Source organism: Homo sapiens, chromosome 7 (genome assembly GCF_000001405.40).
Source record: "Homo sapiens chromosome 7, GRCh38.p14 Primary Assembly".
NCBI lineage: Eukaryota > Metazoa > Chordata > Mammalia > Primates > Hominidae > Homo > Homo sapiens.
This window is the reverse complement of record NC_000007.14, coordinates 136,120,753-136,134,228: the sequence shown is the minus strand read 5'-3', so window position 1 is coordinate 136,134,228 and position 13,476 is coordinate 136,120,753. Positions and strand designations below refer to the sequence as shown.

The 13,476-nt window shown below is 39.6% G+C and overlaps 1 long non-coding RNA gene across 13 annotated transcripts in view, besides 1 other annotated feature; it reads right to left on the bottom strand.

The window, feature by feature from the left end:
- LOC105375523 (uncharacterized) overlaps positions 1-13,476 on the bottom strand; it is a 459,019-nt gene that overhangs the window by 305,737 nt on the left and 139,806 nt on the right. The window lies entirely within an intron of this gene.
- Positions 7,022-7,222: a silencer, noted in NCBI's record as "peak6752 fragment used in MPRA reporter construct". NCBI's record gives its function as "represses an SCP1 promoter by STARR-seq MPRAs in K562 erythroleukemia cells {active_cell/tissue: K562}" and the evidence as "EXISTENCE:reporter gene assay evidence [ECO:0000049][PMID:32103011]".

Genomic DNA, 13,476 nt, shown 5'->3' with positions numbered 1-13,476 from the left:
AGCTTGTAACTAAATGTGAGATAAACAGGGCTGGGTTGGTGGGGACAGTGGGGTGAGGGACAGAGAGGGTGTTAGCAGTGGATATGGGTAAGAGAGATTCTGCCAATAGAAGTCTTACATTAACAAGTGGAAAGAAGAAACACGGACTACATTCACAAGAGGGAAAAGCCCTTGGCCAGGGGAAGCCCCTTCTAGAAATTTGCTCACTTCATACCAGTTACATAAAACTTTATTCCCGACAACCCACAAATATGCTTTGTTTGCCTTCAGTAGATACAGAAATGGTTACAGAATTCTCTCTGTAATTATTATGTATTATGTATGATGAATGAATGGTCTTTAATCGCTATTAAATAAATCCAATGCCTTTTGCCTTTGCTGAAGCCAACCGCAAAGCTATTTCCTCTGGAATGAATTTAAACATTCCTCCCCCTGGCATCTGGCCACTGAGGGGCACCAGGTCAGAGTCAGAGTGAGGCTTCCTTTCATCCCACCCACTAGGGAGTTTATTGTTACATCCTGTAAAGACAGAGAGAGAATAGAACAGAATATATCTAAAATAAACCCATGTGCAATTTCTCTTTTTAAAAGAAAACTACTACTTGCTTCAACTCTGTGCAAATAAGAAGACAGAGGAGGGCCAATGTTCTTTCAGTCATTTGAGTCATCCGTGAATTAAATGGTAAGTTAGGAGAATATATTAAATGACAAGCATCATGAATTGAACATTTGTACAATGACTGCATCCACAGGGTATACTTGTCTCACCACAGACACTTTTAGTTGAACTTCTCTGAAAGATAATGTTAATTCAGGCCAAGTGTGGTAGCTCACACCTGTGACCCCAGTGCTACGGGAGGACAAGACGGAAGTATCATTTAAGGCCAGGAGTTTGCACCAGCCTGGGCAGTATAGTGAGACCTTGTCTCTACAAAAAAATTTAAAAATTATCTGGACTTGGTGACATAGACCTATAGTCCTAGCTACTCCAGAGGCTAAGCCTCAAGGATCACTTGAGCCCAGGAGTTCGAGGCTGCAGTGAGCTATGATTGCACCACTGCCCTCCAGCCTGCGTAACAGAGTGAGACTCCATCTCTAAAAAAAAATTTTAGCACAGTGGCTCACGCCTGTTATCCCAGAACTTTGGGAGGCCAAGGTGGACGGATCACGAGGTCAGGAGATTGAGACCATCCTGGCTAACATGGTGAAACTCCGTCTCTACTAAAAATACAAAAAATTAGCTGGGCATGGTGGCGAGCACCTGTAGTCCCAGCTACGGAGGAGGCTGAGGCAGGAGAATGGCATGAACTAGGAGGCGGAGCTTGCAGTGAGCCGAGATCGTCCCACTGCACTCCAGCCTGGGCAATAGAGCAAGACTCTGTCTCAAAAAAAAAAAAAAAAATTAATTTAAAAAATAATAATGTAAATTCACTCTTAATCATTGAAAAAAGTATTTGATGAGTCAACCAACCTGCCTAAGATAGAATAATCATGATGATGAAGGAGGAGGAGGAGGAAACACTTACTCTGTACCAGGCAATTTTCTAAAATTTGCTTTAACTTATTTAATCCTTACAACAACCCAAGGAAATAAGTTCTATTATTACTTGCATTTTACAGATAAGAAAAATAAGACATGGAGAGGTCTAAAAAAATTGTCAGGGTATTGCAGTAAGTTGAGGAGCCAGATTTCAAACACGGAAATCCAATGTTAAGGTTAGCAACATGCCAACATTTCGAACAAAAATAAAAAGTTTAATCTACTACATTGGCATTGTTGGTTTTTCAGAACTCTGAAGTTGTTTCAGTTGACTGAATTGTTTTCTTTTCACATAAACAACTTTGTTATAATGAACAAAGTCATTACCTAAGAGGCAACACATAAAAACTCAACAGATTTTGCAAATTGACTCATTTTTCATTTCCTTATCACTGAAGTTCAGCTAAATAATGGAAAGTTTAAGATTCAATCATTTGTATTTTGCATAACACAGCTCAGTATTTATTGTAATAAGATTCATGTTGTGAAAAAACCCATTTTCCAGAATAAGAAAATAAAAGATAAAGGTTTGAATTGGACACATAATAAGTCAGTGGGGAAAAAAAATCCATTTTTTATTTCAGAATTATTAATAAATCTCCGTAAGGCAAGGGATCATGTTTCACCTTCCTTCTTGTTTCTTGTTAGCACTTGTAGGTCTTTCAGGAAAGGGTCTGTGTTTTTAAGCAGCCGTGCTGTTCACAAGCACACCATCATCCCCACAGCAGCTCACCGGCCCTTTTGGTTTCCACCCTCCCTACTCTCCACTCTTTCTAGACCTACTTTTCTATGGCCAGGTCTCTAGAACACAATTTCCTTTTCTATAAGCAAAAAAGTAATTAAAATATCCAATGTCTTTTACTGTCTTTCAATAAGTGTTAGTAGATAACAATGACCATCAATTATATTATTAAAATGGATTTAATTTATCCAACAAAGCACAGTGCACGACAAAAGTCACTCTATTCAGAGGACTTGCCAATGGTAATAGGAATGGCCCCAAAGTACAACCAACTGTGATTTTTTTTAAGGGCAGAAGTCATGCCTTTTATTGTTGTTCTTAGTATCTGTGAATTGCTTTTCCAGATATCTATAAATCTTGCATTTTCAAGAATGTTGGTTGGATTTAATTGACTTGAAATGTGAATACCAAAGCTAATAAACTGTTAAAGTTCTTCAAGCTACAAAACTTGACTCATTACTAGATATGCTGTGTTATGACTACTACTTCTGGAGAAACTTGCTATTTGTTACTAAAAAGACAGACAAACGGGGGTGGGATGGGGAGGGAGAGAAAGAAAGAGAGCGAAGGAGGATACAGTGGGATGGTTGCGGAATCCCAGACAGGTGACAAACACAAAAAGAGGCTGCAGCAGAACACAGAAAATAATAACATGGGGACATGCATGGACACTGGAGGAGGTACCTCCAAAAATAAGCCAAAGAATAGAGAGTATAAGATTCAATCATTTGCATTTTGTATAACATAGCTTGGTATTTATTGGAACAAGATTCATGTTGTGAAAAACCCCATTTTTTCACACTACATTGGCATTGTTGATTTCTTATAATTGTTTGTCAAGTTGTTTCAGTTGACTGAATTGTTTTCTTTTCACGTAAGCAACTTTGTCATAATGAAAGAAGTCATTACCTAAAGGGCAAAAGATAATGACTCTATGCCAGATATGACTCTTTTACATTCCTGTTCAGGTTTAAATCCTAGGCTGAAGAAGGTGTAATTATTGGCTATGTCCACAATATCTCAACACTGTCCTCTCGTTTATGCTCTGCTCCCAGTTTATATCTCTATTTGATCTTATCAGGTAAACTTTAAGAGTAGGGTTTAAAATTTCCAGTTTAATCCATTTTCATTAAGATACATACCCATAGAGCAGGTTTCTCAAGAAAGCATCTATTCATTGCTTACGTAAGCAACACAATGAGTGCGCATCTTAAAACAGAATAATAAAGCAGTTTGGAGCAAGGAGCAGTGCATGTTTGTTAATGTGGATTTGACTCATAAACATAAAACCCATCAGCAGCAAAATGTTACATTCATCTTAGTGCTGGAACTACGTAGCTCTTTGATGTACTCCAAATTGCTCCTCGCCAGTGTTTGATGGAAGTTTATTAGCTCTATAGACTGCTAAAACTATCTTTATATAAACAAAATCTTAGAGCATGCTTCTATGGCATGATTTCCAGGGCTTAGAAGTTCTTGAAATTCTTTATTGCCTCCTGTATTTTCTTCCCCTATCTGGCACATTGCATAAAAACATATAACTGATACAAATGAGGATGAGTTATTGTAAGATATGGATTTTGTTTTCCTCTCTTTTCTTAAATTAAACATTTCTTCCTCCCTTATTATGACGTTTTTTATTGTGAAATATGTCATGAATAAAGAGTGTATATAATATTTATACGTAGATGAACAGTTGCAAAAATATATGACACGTACCCATGTGCTTTAGCTTTCTTCTTCTCTTAATGAAATTTTTTAAACTTCTTTTGGACTACTTAGAAAACAAAAATGAAAACATTAAGTCCAAAGGAAAAAAATACATTTTAAAACCTCCCAAGAAATAAATTAAGAAAAATACACAGGGTTAGCCTGAGTGCTATAGTATTTACAATGAATTGATCACAACCAGTTACAGATTTCTTTGCCACATCTTCACTCCCACTGCTTCACTTGACTAGCCTTAAAAAAAAGAAAAAATACATGAGACTAGAGAAAGTTTTTGTTTTAAGTTGAAAAAGAATTAAAACACCAATTTCCTGTTTTGACTTTTACTCCCTTTTTTTAAAAAAAAGTTCTCTCTTCTTTAACCTCCCCATTTTTTCTATTTCCCCTTTCCCTGAACTTCAATTGTCATTAGACAATTAATAAACAAGCTACAAAGCAGATAGTTCTCCAAAGAATGGTTCAGATAGCTGCTAACATGAGATTGGACCAATGATTCCAAGAAAAAGGTATGAAAGTATGAAACTGTTCCCAACCATTCCAACCTCACATCTTACGGAAGTTTCTACCAAGTAAAGCCAGACAGCCTCTGACTTACACGATGGTTTGACTTGGTTTTTCCAACTTTACAATGGTTCAAAAGCAATAGGCATACAGCGGAGACCATACTTCAAGTACCCCTACAACCATTCTGTTTTCCACTTTTGGTACAGTATTCAATGAAGCACATGTGTCAATGGAGAAAAATGATGAGACACGTCTCAATCATTTTAGAAGGTTTATTTGTCAAAGTTAAGGACGTGCGCCCGTGACACAGCCTCAGGAAGTCCTGACAACATGTGCCCAAAGTAGTCAGGCCACAGCCTGGTTTTCTACATTTTAGGTAGACATGAGACATCAGTCAATTTAGGTAAGAAGTACATTGGTTCTGTCCAGAAAAGTGGGGACCACTCAAAGCAGAGAGGGGGCTTCCAGGTCACAGGTAGGTGAGAGACAAAATGGTTGCATTGTTTTGAGTTTCTGATAAGCCTTTCCAAAGGAGGCAATCAGAATATGCATCTATCTCAGTGAGCAGAGGGATGACTTTGAATAGAATGAGAGACAGATTTGCCCTGAGCAATTCCCAGCTTGAAGCGGCCCAAGATATTTTCCTTTCACACATGAGATATCCAACACTCTTATAAAATAGGCTTTGTGTTAGATGATTTTGCCCAACTGCAGGCTAATAAAATTGTTCCGAGTATGTTTAAGTTAGGCTAAGCTAAGCTTTGATATGCAGTAGGCTGGATTAATCCACTTTCAACTCAGAATGTTTTTAATGTATGATGGGTTTTCCAGGACATAACTCCATAATAAGTTGAGGAACATCTGTATACCCTGAGACAAGACCATCATCACAATCCCATCCTCTTTCCTTACCTGTACAGACTCCAACCCTGCTTCTGCTGAGGAAGTTATCTAACCTTGAGGTGCTCCCTCATGCACATAAGCTGAATAAAGCCCTTCACTGCTATTTAAGTTGCTTGAACTATTTCTGCCTTGAGTGTTTCCTTGGTGTTAATGTTCAAACATCCATGTTTCACCACATCATCTTTACTCCCACACAGAAGTGTGCTCTGCTTTCATTCAAAGATAGGACTGCACTCACAGACAGGCTCTACACCCAAGATGGAGACTTCCTCACCAATCTCCAGACTTTGCCAATAGAGGGTAGTGGAGTGGTTAGATGAAAGAATATTCGGTCATCCCCAAAACTGTTGCCCACTGTGTCTGGCATCATTGGAATTTTCTCAGCTTCATTTTTGGAAACATCCTACCCTGAATCCTTCCATTCACTCCTTCAAAGGACTTTTTCTTCTGCACATCTCTCTGCCAACCAGAAACAGAAGCAACCACCACACAAGAGCGCTGTGGGGGATGAGGGACTGACTGCCTCCCCACTGTGGAGCCAATCCAGTCCCAGGTGAGCATCAGGTGACCAATAATGGTGCCTCACGCCCCCTGCAGATGAGCAGAGTCAGCAGATGCATGTGGTTTCCTGCATGCTCCAAAAGTATCTAACCAAATTCCTACATTTTACAGTTGAGCACGCTGAAGCCCAGAAAGCTAAACTGACCTGTCCAAGGTCACAGAATTAATTAGTATAAAGGCTGAAATTAGAATCTGATTTCATCCCAGACATTGACACTGAGTATTGATTAATATAACAACAACAACAATAATAATAGTTAATGTTTGTTGAGTACTTCCTATGTGCCAGGAACTATTCTAAAAACTTACATGTATTAATTCCTTCAACCCTTACTGCAATCTTCTGAGACAGGGATAATTATTACTTCTATTTCACAGATGAGGAAACTGCAACTCAGAGTAATTACAGAATAGCCAGTGAGTGGTCGAGGCAGGATCTGATTCTAGGAAGTTATCTTTCATAAGACCTAGACCTTATGAACCACTCACATTTTTGCTGCACTATGGTAAAATGAAAAAAAGAATAAGGAGAGTGCAATGCATTTTTCTTAAAGATAGACTTTTTCTATTTTAAATACTATCCTTAATTATACTCTGTACTTCCTATTTTAGAATATTAAAAATGCCATTTCTTTTATGAAAAAATATTGAGAGTACACAGTAGCTGGTGTTTTGTACATTTTGTTGTTTAATAAAAATATATTTTGGAAGCTGTTTTTGATGTAAAATTGCAGAATCTGGAAAACCTTTCCTTATATTATGTGTGTGCTGTAGGAATCCTGGGAGAATGTGCAGCAGCTCTCCCGCATCCCCTGCAGGGACTAGTCCCCTGAGAAATAAGGGGCAGGAAAAGGAACCAATTAATATTAATTATGTACCCTGTTCAGTTAGGATTATTTTCATTGCAGGCAAATGACTTCAGTAAAAGTGAATAGATAGATTAATATAACTGAAACATCTCTTGGCTTTGCACTGTACCATATATTGGCTCAATTCTGAGGTTCCCAAGTACAAAATGGCTACCCACAGCTTCAGCCCTTCCCTATGTTCATGTTCAGAGGGGAAAGGGTATCTCTCCCTAGTAGCTTCCACATAGGATTGTACTTTGATTGGATCAACTTAGTCATATGTCCACCCCTAAAGGAGTCACTATGCCTAGGTAATAGATTTATGGCACTTAGCCAGTGAGTTATACACTCTTGAAGCTAGTCATAGAATCAGCTCCAACAGTAGCTGTTCATCTGACAGAAGGGGGAGGATGGTTCTCAAAAGGGAAAATTAGACACTGTTGCCAAAAGAAGAAAGAATGGTGGGCAACCCAACAAATGTTTACTACTCACCGAACATATGTCATTCACTGGGTTGAGAACTACTTACTCAAAACTCTACCATTAAACTGAAGATAAAATAAGCCACTCCTGTGTATTTCAATTACCACTTCATGCAGGAGCTCAGTCACCACCCTTTAAAGCCAACTTCCACCGAGAAGTGTAGCTCTTGAAACCGTTGATTCCTGCCTGTCTCCCACTCCACCAAAAATTAAGAATTCCTTAAATATCTGTCCCTTCTGTCTCCACCACAGTTGAAGGAGCTAAGATTAGAGACAGTGACTATGTCTCACCTCTAGGTTAAAAAGAAAACAACATCTAGAACAACAACTCTAGAGGGTTGTTAATCAAATAAGAGAATAATGTTTCTTCTAAATTTGATTTCAGTTCTCCAGTGTTAAATACCTGGTATCCACACCTCACAGAATACGTCTGTTAGCCTTAAGAATTAAATGTATCTAATTAATTTATCTAATTAAATTTAAAATGCCTAAGAGTGCATTTTAAAAGATGAATTTTATCACTGATACACACAAAAACAGATTTCTATAGCAAGCACAGGCATCACAATTACCCCACAACAGTTCCAGAAAACTATTCTCTGAAACAATAAATCTATCCAATCAAAATTAAGTGTTCAGAGTTGTAAACAGTATTCAATGCTTCACTCAAAATTTAAAACAAGACCATCATTTGCAGCTCCAGACATCTCTAGGCATCCAGACTTTGGCTATAAATAAGATTGCTTTAATAAAATATAAAATCATGACTTAATTTAATATGAAAGGGATCCAAGATCATTAATCTCTATATTTACTCAATGTTAAAAACAATTTCCATTCTTTTCCAAGAAAAATGCTCACATAGGGAGAAAAATAATAGTCATAAAATAAAAATAATTTGAGGCTTTGCACACTAGTTGTAGTGAATCTTGGCAGTCACCTAATATCATGTAAGATAGCTCATGACCTTACATCGACAAAATTCCACCTGGAGAGTTTCCTAGAGATGTTCCCCAACTTAGCCCTCAGTCCACTCCCCATTTCCTGATGAATTCAGAGAGCAGCCTTGGCTCCACTTTTTTCTCCTTTTCACTCCTGCCTAGTCCCTCTAAGCATAGATAGCAATTGTGCATGCTGGACTCTTTAGTTCCAGTCCTGGTGCTTCTCCTAGCACACATCATGAGGCTTCAGGGTAAGTAAATTCACAACATCTTTCCAATTCACATTCACTCATGGTTTGAAAAAAGGAGTCCTCACTTGATAAGGTTTGGCTGTGTCCCCACCCAAATCTCATCTTGAATTGTAGCTCCCATAATTCTCGTGTGTCGTGGGAGGGACCCAGTGAGACGTAATTGAATCATGGGGGTGGGTCTTTCCCGTGCTGTTCTCGTGATAGCAAATAAGTCTCATGAGATCTGATGGTTTTATAAAGGGTAGTTTCCTTACACAAGCTCTCTCATTCTCTCTTGTCTGCTGCCATGTAAGACATGCCTTTCACCTTTCACCATGATGGTGAGACCTCCCCAGCCATGTGGAACTGTGAGTCCATTAAACCTCTTTTTCTTTATAAATTGCCCAGTCTCGGATATGTCTTTATCAGCAGCATGAAAATGGACTAATACATCACTTAAGCCCAGATAAACTAATGGGGGAATCTGCTAAAAAATAATTGAGAAGAGATTACACATTTCTGGGGAGAGAGCATATTCCAAGAGAATAAGAGGCCACCAGCCCAGCAATCTTCATCTAGGCAGAAGAAAGAAGAAGAAGAAGAAAGAAGGAGAAGTTGTCATCATAGCCACAGCAATCTTCATCCAGGAAGAAGAAAGAAGAAGAAGAAGTTGTAATCATCCTTGCTCTTGGAGGGGTCCTGTGCATGGGCAGGAGTGGCCATGCCTGCCAGGAGACAGCAGATGTGACTGCAGTCCCATCAATGCCCTGGCACAGAGTGAGGTGTGGTGTCCAGTGGATCTTCAAAGCACCTCAAGGCAAGGGGGCTGGAGCAGGGTAAAAGGATGGAATGGCAAGAACCATATGGCCAATATGGCCAGAACCTTTATCAGATCCTTGTTTTTCAGTGTCTGGAGACTCTCCAAAATACCTGTATAAGAAGGAAAAAGTGCAAGGGCAGTGATTTTATATTGGGTACTAGCAAAACCGGAATTGGACATGAAATGAGGGTATTGGATGACCTCTGAATGCCTTCCAGCTCTGACTTTGAATAATTATATGATTCTAACTAGCTAATGGTGGGGAAAAGAAATGTTCTCCCCCACCCCACCCCTTTCTCCCAAATCTCTTTGGCTTCAATCCTCATCAAGAGTAAGTTAAATCTCCAGAAGACAGGAACAAAAGCAGCCACTGCTGAATAGGATACTCCTCCCTCCTCCTTGTGATGATCCTCGTGCCCCTCCTGCCCATTCCTCCCCTCTTATACAGAGATCTTTTCCCCAGACTCCTTCCTCCCTGACCCCTCACCTCCCACATCTTCCCTGGGCATCCCTATAGAGCATAAGATTCCAAGAAAAGGCTCCAACCTCCTTTCGAGCCTCCAAATCTCACTCCAGCTAATTTCATTGAAAAGCAGATATAGTAGTGCTTCTGATCTTCCTTTGTCCTGGTCCCTGAAAGCACCACATTCAGGTTCAACATTACTGAATGTTTCAACATTTCAAATGTAGACAGTTAATGGAGGAGTTTCAACTCCATGAGGTTATTAACATGAAACTGTTATTCCTTTAAATCCTTCTTTTATTCATGTTCTGTCACATAACCCTGTCCTACTCCCTAGCAATGACCTCTTGGCACAATCCATAGCTTACCAGACACTTTTTATTACTAATATGACTCCTAATAAAATATCATAGCTGATTGATTAAAAAAATGTTCATCTTCTCTTCTTCAAAATAGCTAGAAACATGATCATAGGTTCTTGGAGTGAAGAGTGAACACAGTGTGGCTCAGAAGCAAATCCTCCCCTCTCTATTTTCAAAGTCTGGATCTTCCAGCCCCTCATGGGCAGGGGGAGAAATAAGTAAATGCAGAGATCATGCCAATGAGGGCAGATGTCCTGGCATCCCTCTGTTGCAGACTCTTTCCCTTTGATGATAAGACACTGTGCATGGTTTTTGTAAGGGCAATGATACATTTTTACCATGCCCCCTACCCAGTCCTGAGGACCCTCAGAACAAGGAATATCCCCTACACCTTACCTATTCCCATCTACAGCACTGGCCTTAAGCCCTTTCTCTGGATTAGGCGGCCTCTTGCTTTATCCCAGTGAGCCCTCTTCCTCTGTCCCTCCCCTCATCTCGGTGTGTTTTCCTCTGTGCCCTCAAAAGGTCACAGGAGACTAGGGTAAGTGTGGCCACATCCTGTTCTTCAGTACCTAACACTATGGCACCCTTCTTACTCTGCTGGTGACAGCTATTACAACAAGCTTCTCTGCTCAGAAATCTCCAGACTGGTAGCACACGAAGCACATCTCAGGCTCTCCTAAAACTTTCTTGCCCTGATCTGTACCACTCCAAAGTCAGTAGAGAGTGAGGCTGCAGGTTCTAGAGCTTAGTACACACCTGTCATAAAGAAGATACAAGTCTCTCCTTCTCATAGATACCCCAACCTCTATGACTGATTTCCCATTGGAAGCCCTTCACTTGGCTTCTTAGGGAGGAGAGCAGCCCACCCATGGGGAAGAAAAGGAAAACCTTCCTGTCTGCACTCTAATAACACCCTCCATCCTGATTCCTCTTGCAGGGAGGGGTGGGACAGGGAATTATGGTAAGGGGAAGGTTTAACCTCCACTTAGTAAATAAATCTGGAATTCCCCAATGGTGGTGACTCTTTGGTAACTATCTTTAGGATATGGGGTCTTAGCTTTTCTTATCCTCCTCAGCTTTATGTCTTTGCTAGAATTCTTGCACTAAAGGACAAAATCATTCTGAATATCCTGTTACAAAATTCAGGAATTAGTAAGAGTTAGTAACTGTATTTTTTTAAAAAAACGTACAAACAAACAAACAAACAAAAACCCTCTAGCATGGTACCTGTACTCTCCACATAGTCAAACAGTCACATCCCAACCCTCTACCTCTAAGAACCTTCCCACTTAAGGGTAAGCCTCATCCATAACCAATTGGCAGAATTACAGTGAGACTTCCAACCATAAGGGAAGGAGATTTATCATCATTGGCTTGCCATCATTGGCTTGTAAGCCAATGTAACAATACTTTTTTGTATAATAGTTTAAACATCAAGAGACAGTAAGAACATATACCCAAACAGTAGCATGACTCATACCCTCACCCCTTACTATTTTGTTATTAATAATGTCATCTCATCCATTGGGAAGTTGAGACCCATAAACTCCAAAATCGCACAGAATAGAGTCAAAATCATCATTGGAGACTTAAAATAACTTCAAGCTACTCCATAGCTCAGTAAAGAACAATGTGTTTTTATTCCTAAATGAAAGTCTTAAACTACCTTCTCAATGACATTTCTTGCTAATAATAAAGGTTATTGAAAGAAATCTGATCTTGGTCTATAAGCCAGAAAGAAATTTCATGTTAATGATAAGCCTGATACATTCTGGGCATGAGTGTAAATGACCATTTGTTAAGTTACAGTTCATTACACAGGGTATGGCACTCTTCCCTGGAATGTTCTTTCATTTTAAATACATCATCTTTGGGAATTTTATATTCTGGCATAATTGTGGCACGTAGAAAAGTGTGTGAGCATCTAAAATATTTCAAGCACCAAGTCAGTTACAAACACAAAATAGGCCTCTTGTTTATCTAAAAATAAACATAAAAGATCAGAACCTTTTGTTTGTCTATAGCAAATAATTTTCTTAGCTTTTCTGACACACTTGTAGCCATCCTGTTGAAAATCTGCAATTAGAACATGATTCATTTGCCCATGACTATAATGTGAGAGCCCCTATTTGTCTTTTTCTTAGAGGCTTCCTATGGTGATGGAAAAATGCAACATCCAAATTAGACTATAAACCCACCCCCTCAGAGGATGCTTTTAGAAGCCTAGATTTTTTTACTTCAACTTGTACACTAATGAAGGCAGTTACCAGTAAGAGTTCCAGGCCCACAACACAGAAAAGCTAGCTAAATGCCAGGTCACTCCCTAAGCTGCAGCACACAAGTAGCCAACAAATATTTCACCAACTTGTGTTGCTGTTGTTGTTGTTGGTGGTGGTGGTGGTGGTGGTGGTGGTGGTGTTATTTGTCCTGGGCTACAACATTGGCCAAGTTTGGTGCACACCAACCATCCGTAGAAGCCAGAGGTTCTCAATCTAGGAAACACATGAGAATCATCTGGTGTGTTGTTCCATTTTCATGCTGCTGATAAAGACTTACCCAAGACTGGGAAGAAAAATAGGTTTAATAGACTCACAGTTCCACATGGCTAGGGAGGCTTCATAATCATGGCAGAAGGTGAAAGGCACTTGATACATGGCAGGCAGTAAGACAGAATAAGAACCAAGATAAAGGGGTTTCCCCTTATAAAACCATCAGATCTCATGAAGTGACATTTATTCAGTACCGCAAGAACAGTATGGAGGAAACCACCCCCATGATTCAATTATCTCCCACCAAGTCCCTCCTATAACACATGGGGATTATGGGAGCTACAATTCAAGACAAGATTTGGGTGGGGAAACAACCAAACCATATCACCTGGGAACTTTGAAAATCCTGATATCCAAGCCAGGTAATTCAGAATCTCTGAGAGAGAGACCCAAGTATCAGTATTCATTACAGACCCCAGAGCATGTCAGTGTGCACCCTGGATTGGGAACCACTGCTGTAAAACAACCATGCTGAATGTGTGCAGAGAAATGGGATACAAAAGCAAAAAGATGTTGACTACTAAAGTGTAGACAGTTCAAAATTGTAATCAAATATAATTTGCAATAGTCTTTCTTCCTCTTTCTACAACCATAAACAGTAGCACTGAGTATCTGAAGGAAATGAGTATACAGAAATAAGGTTGGTGATATGGTTTGGCTATGTCCCCACTCAAATCTGATCTTGAATTGCAGCTCCCACAATTCCCACATGTCATGGGAGAACCCAGTGGGAGGCAATTGAATCATGGGGTCAGGTCTTTCTCGTGCTGTCCTCCTGATAGTGAATAAGTCTCATAAGA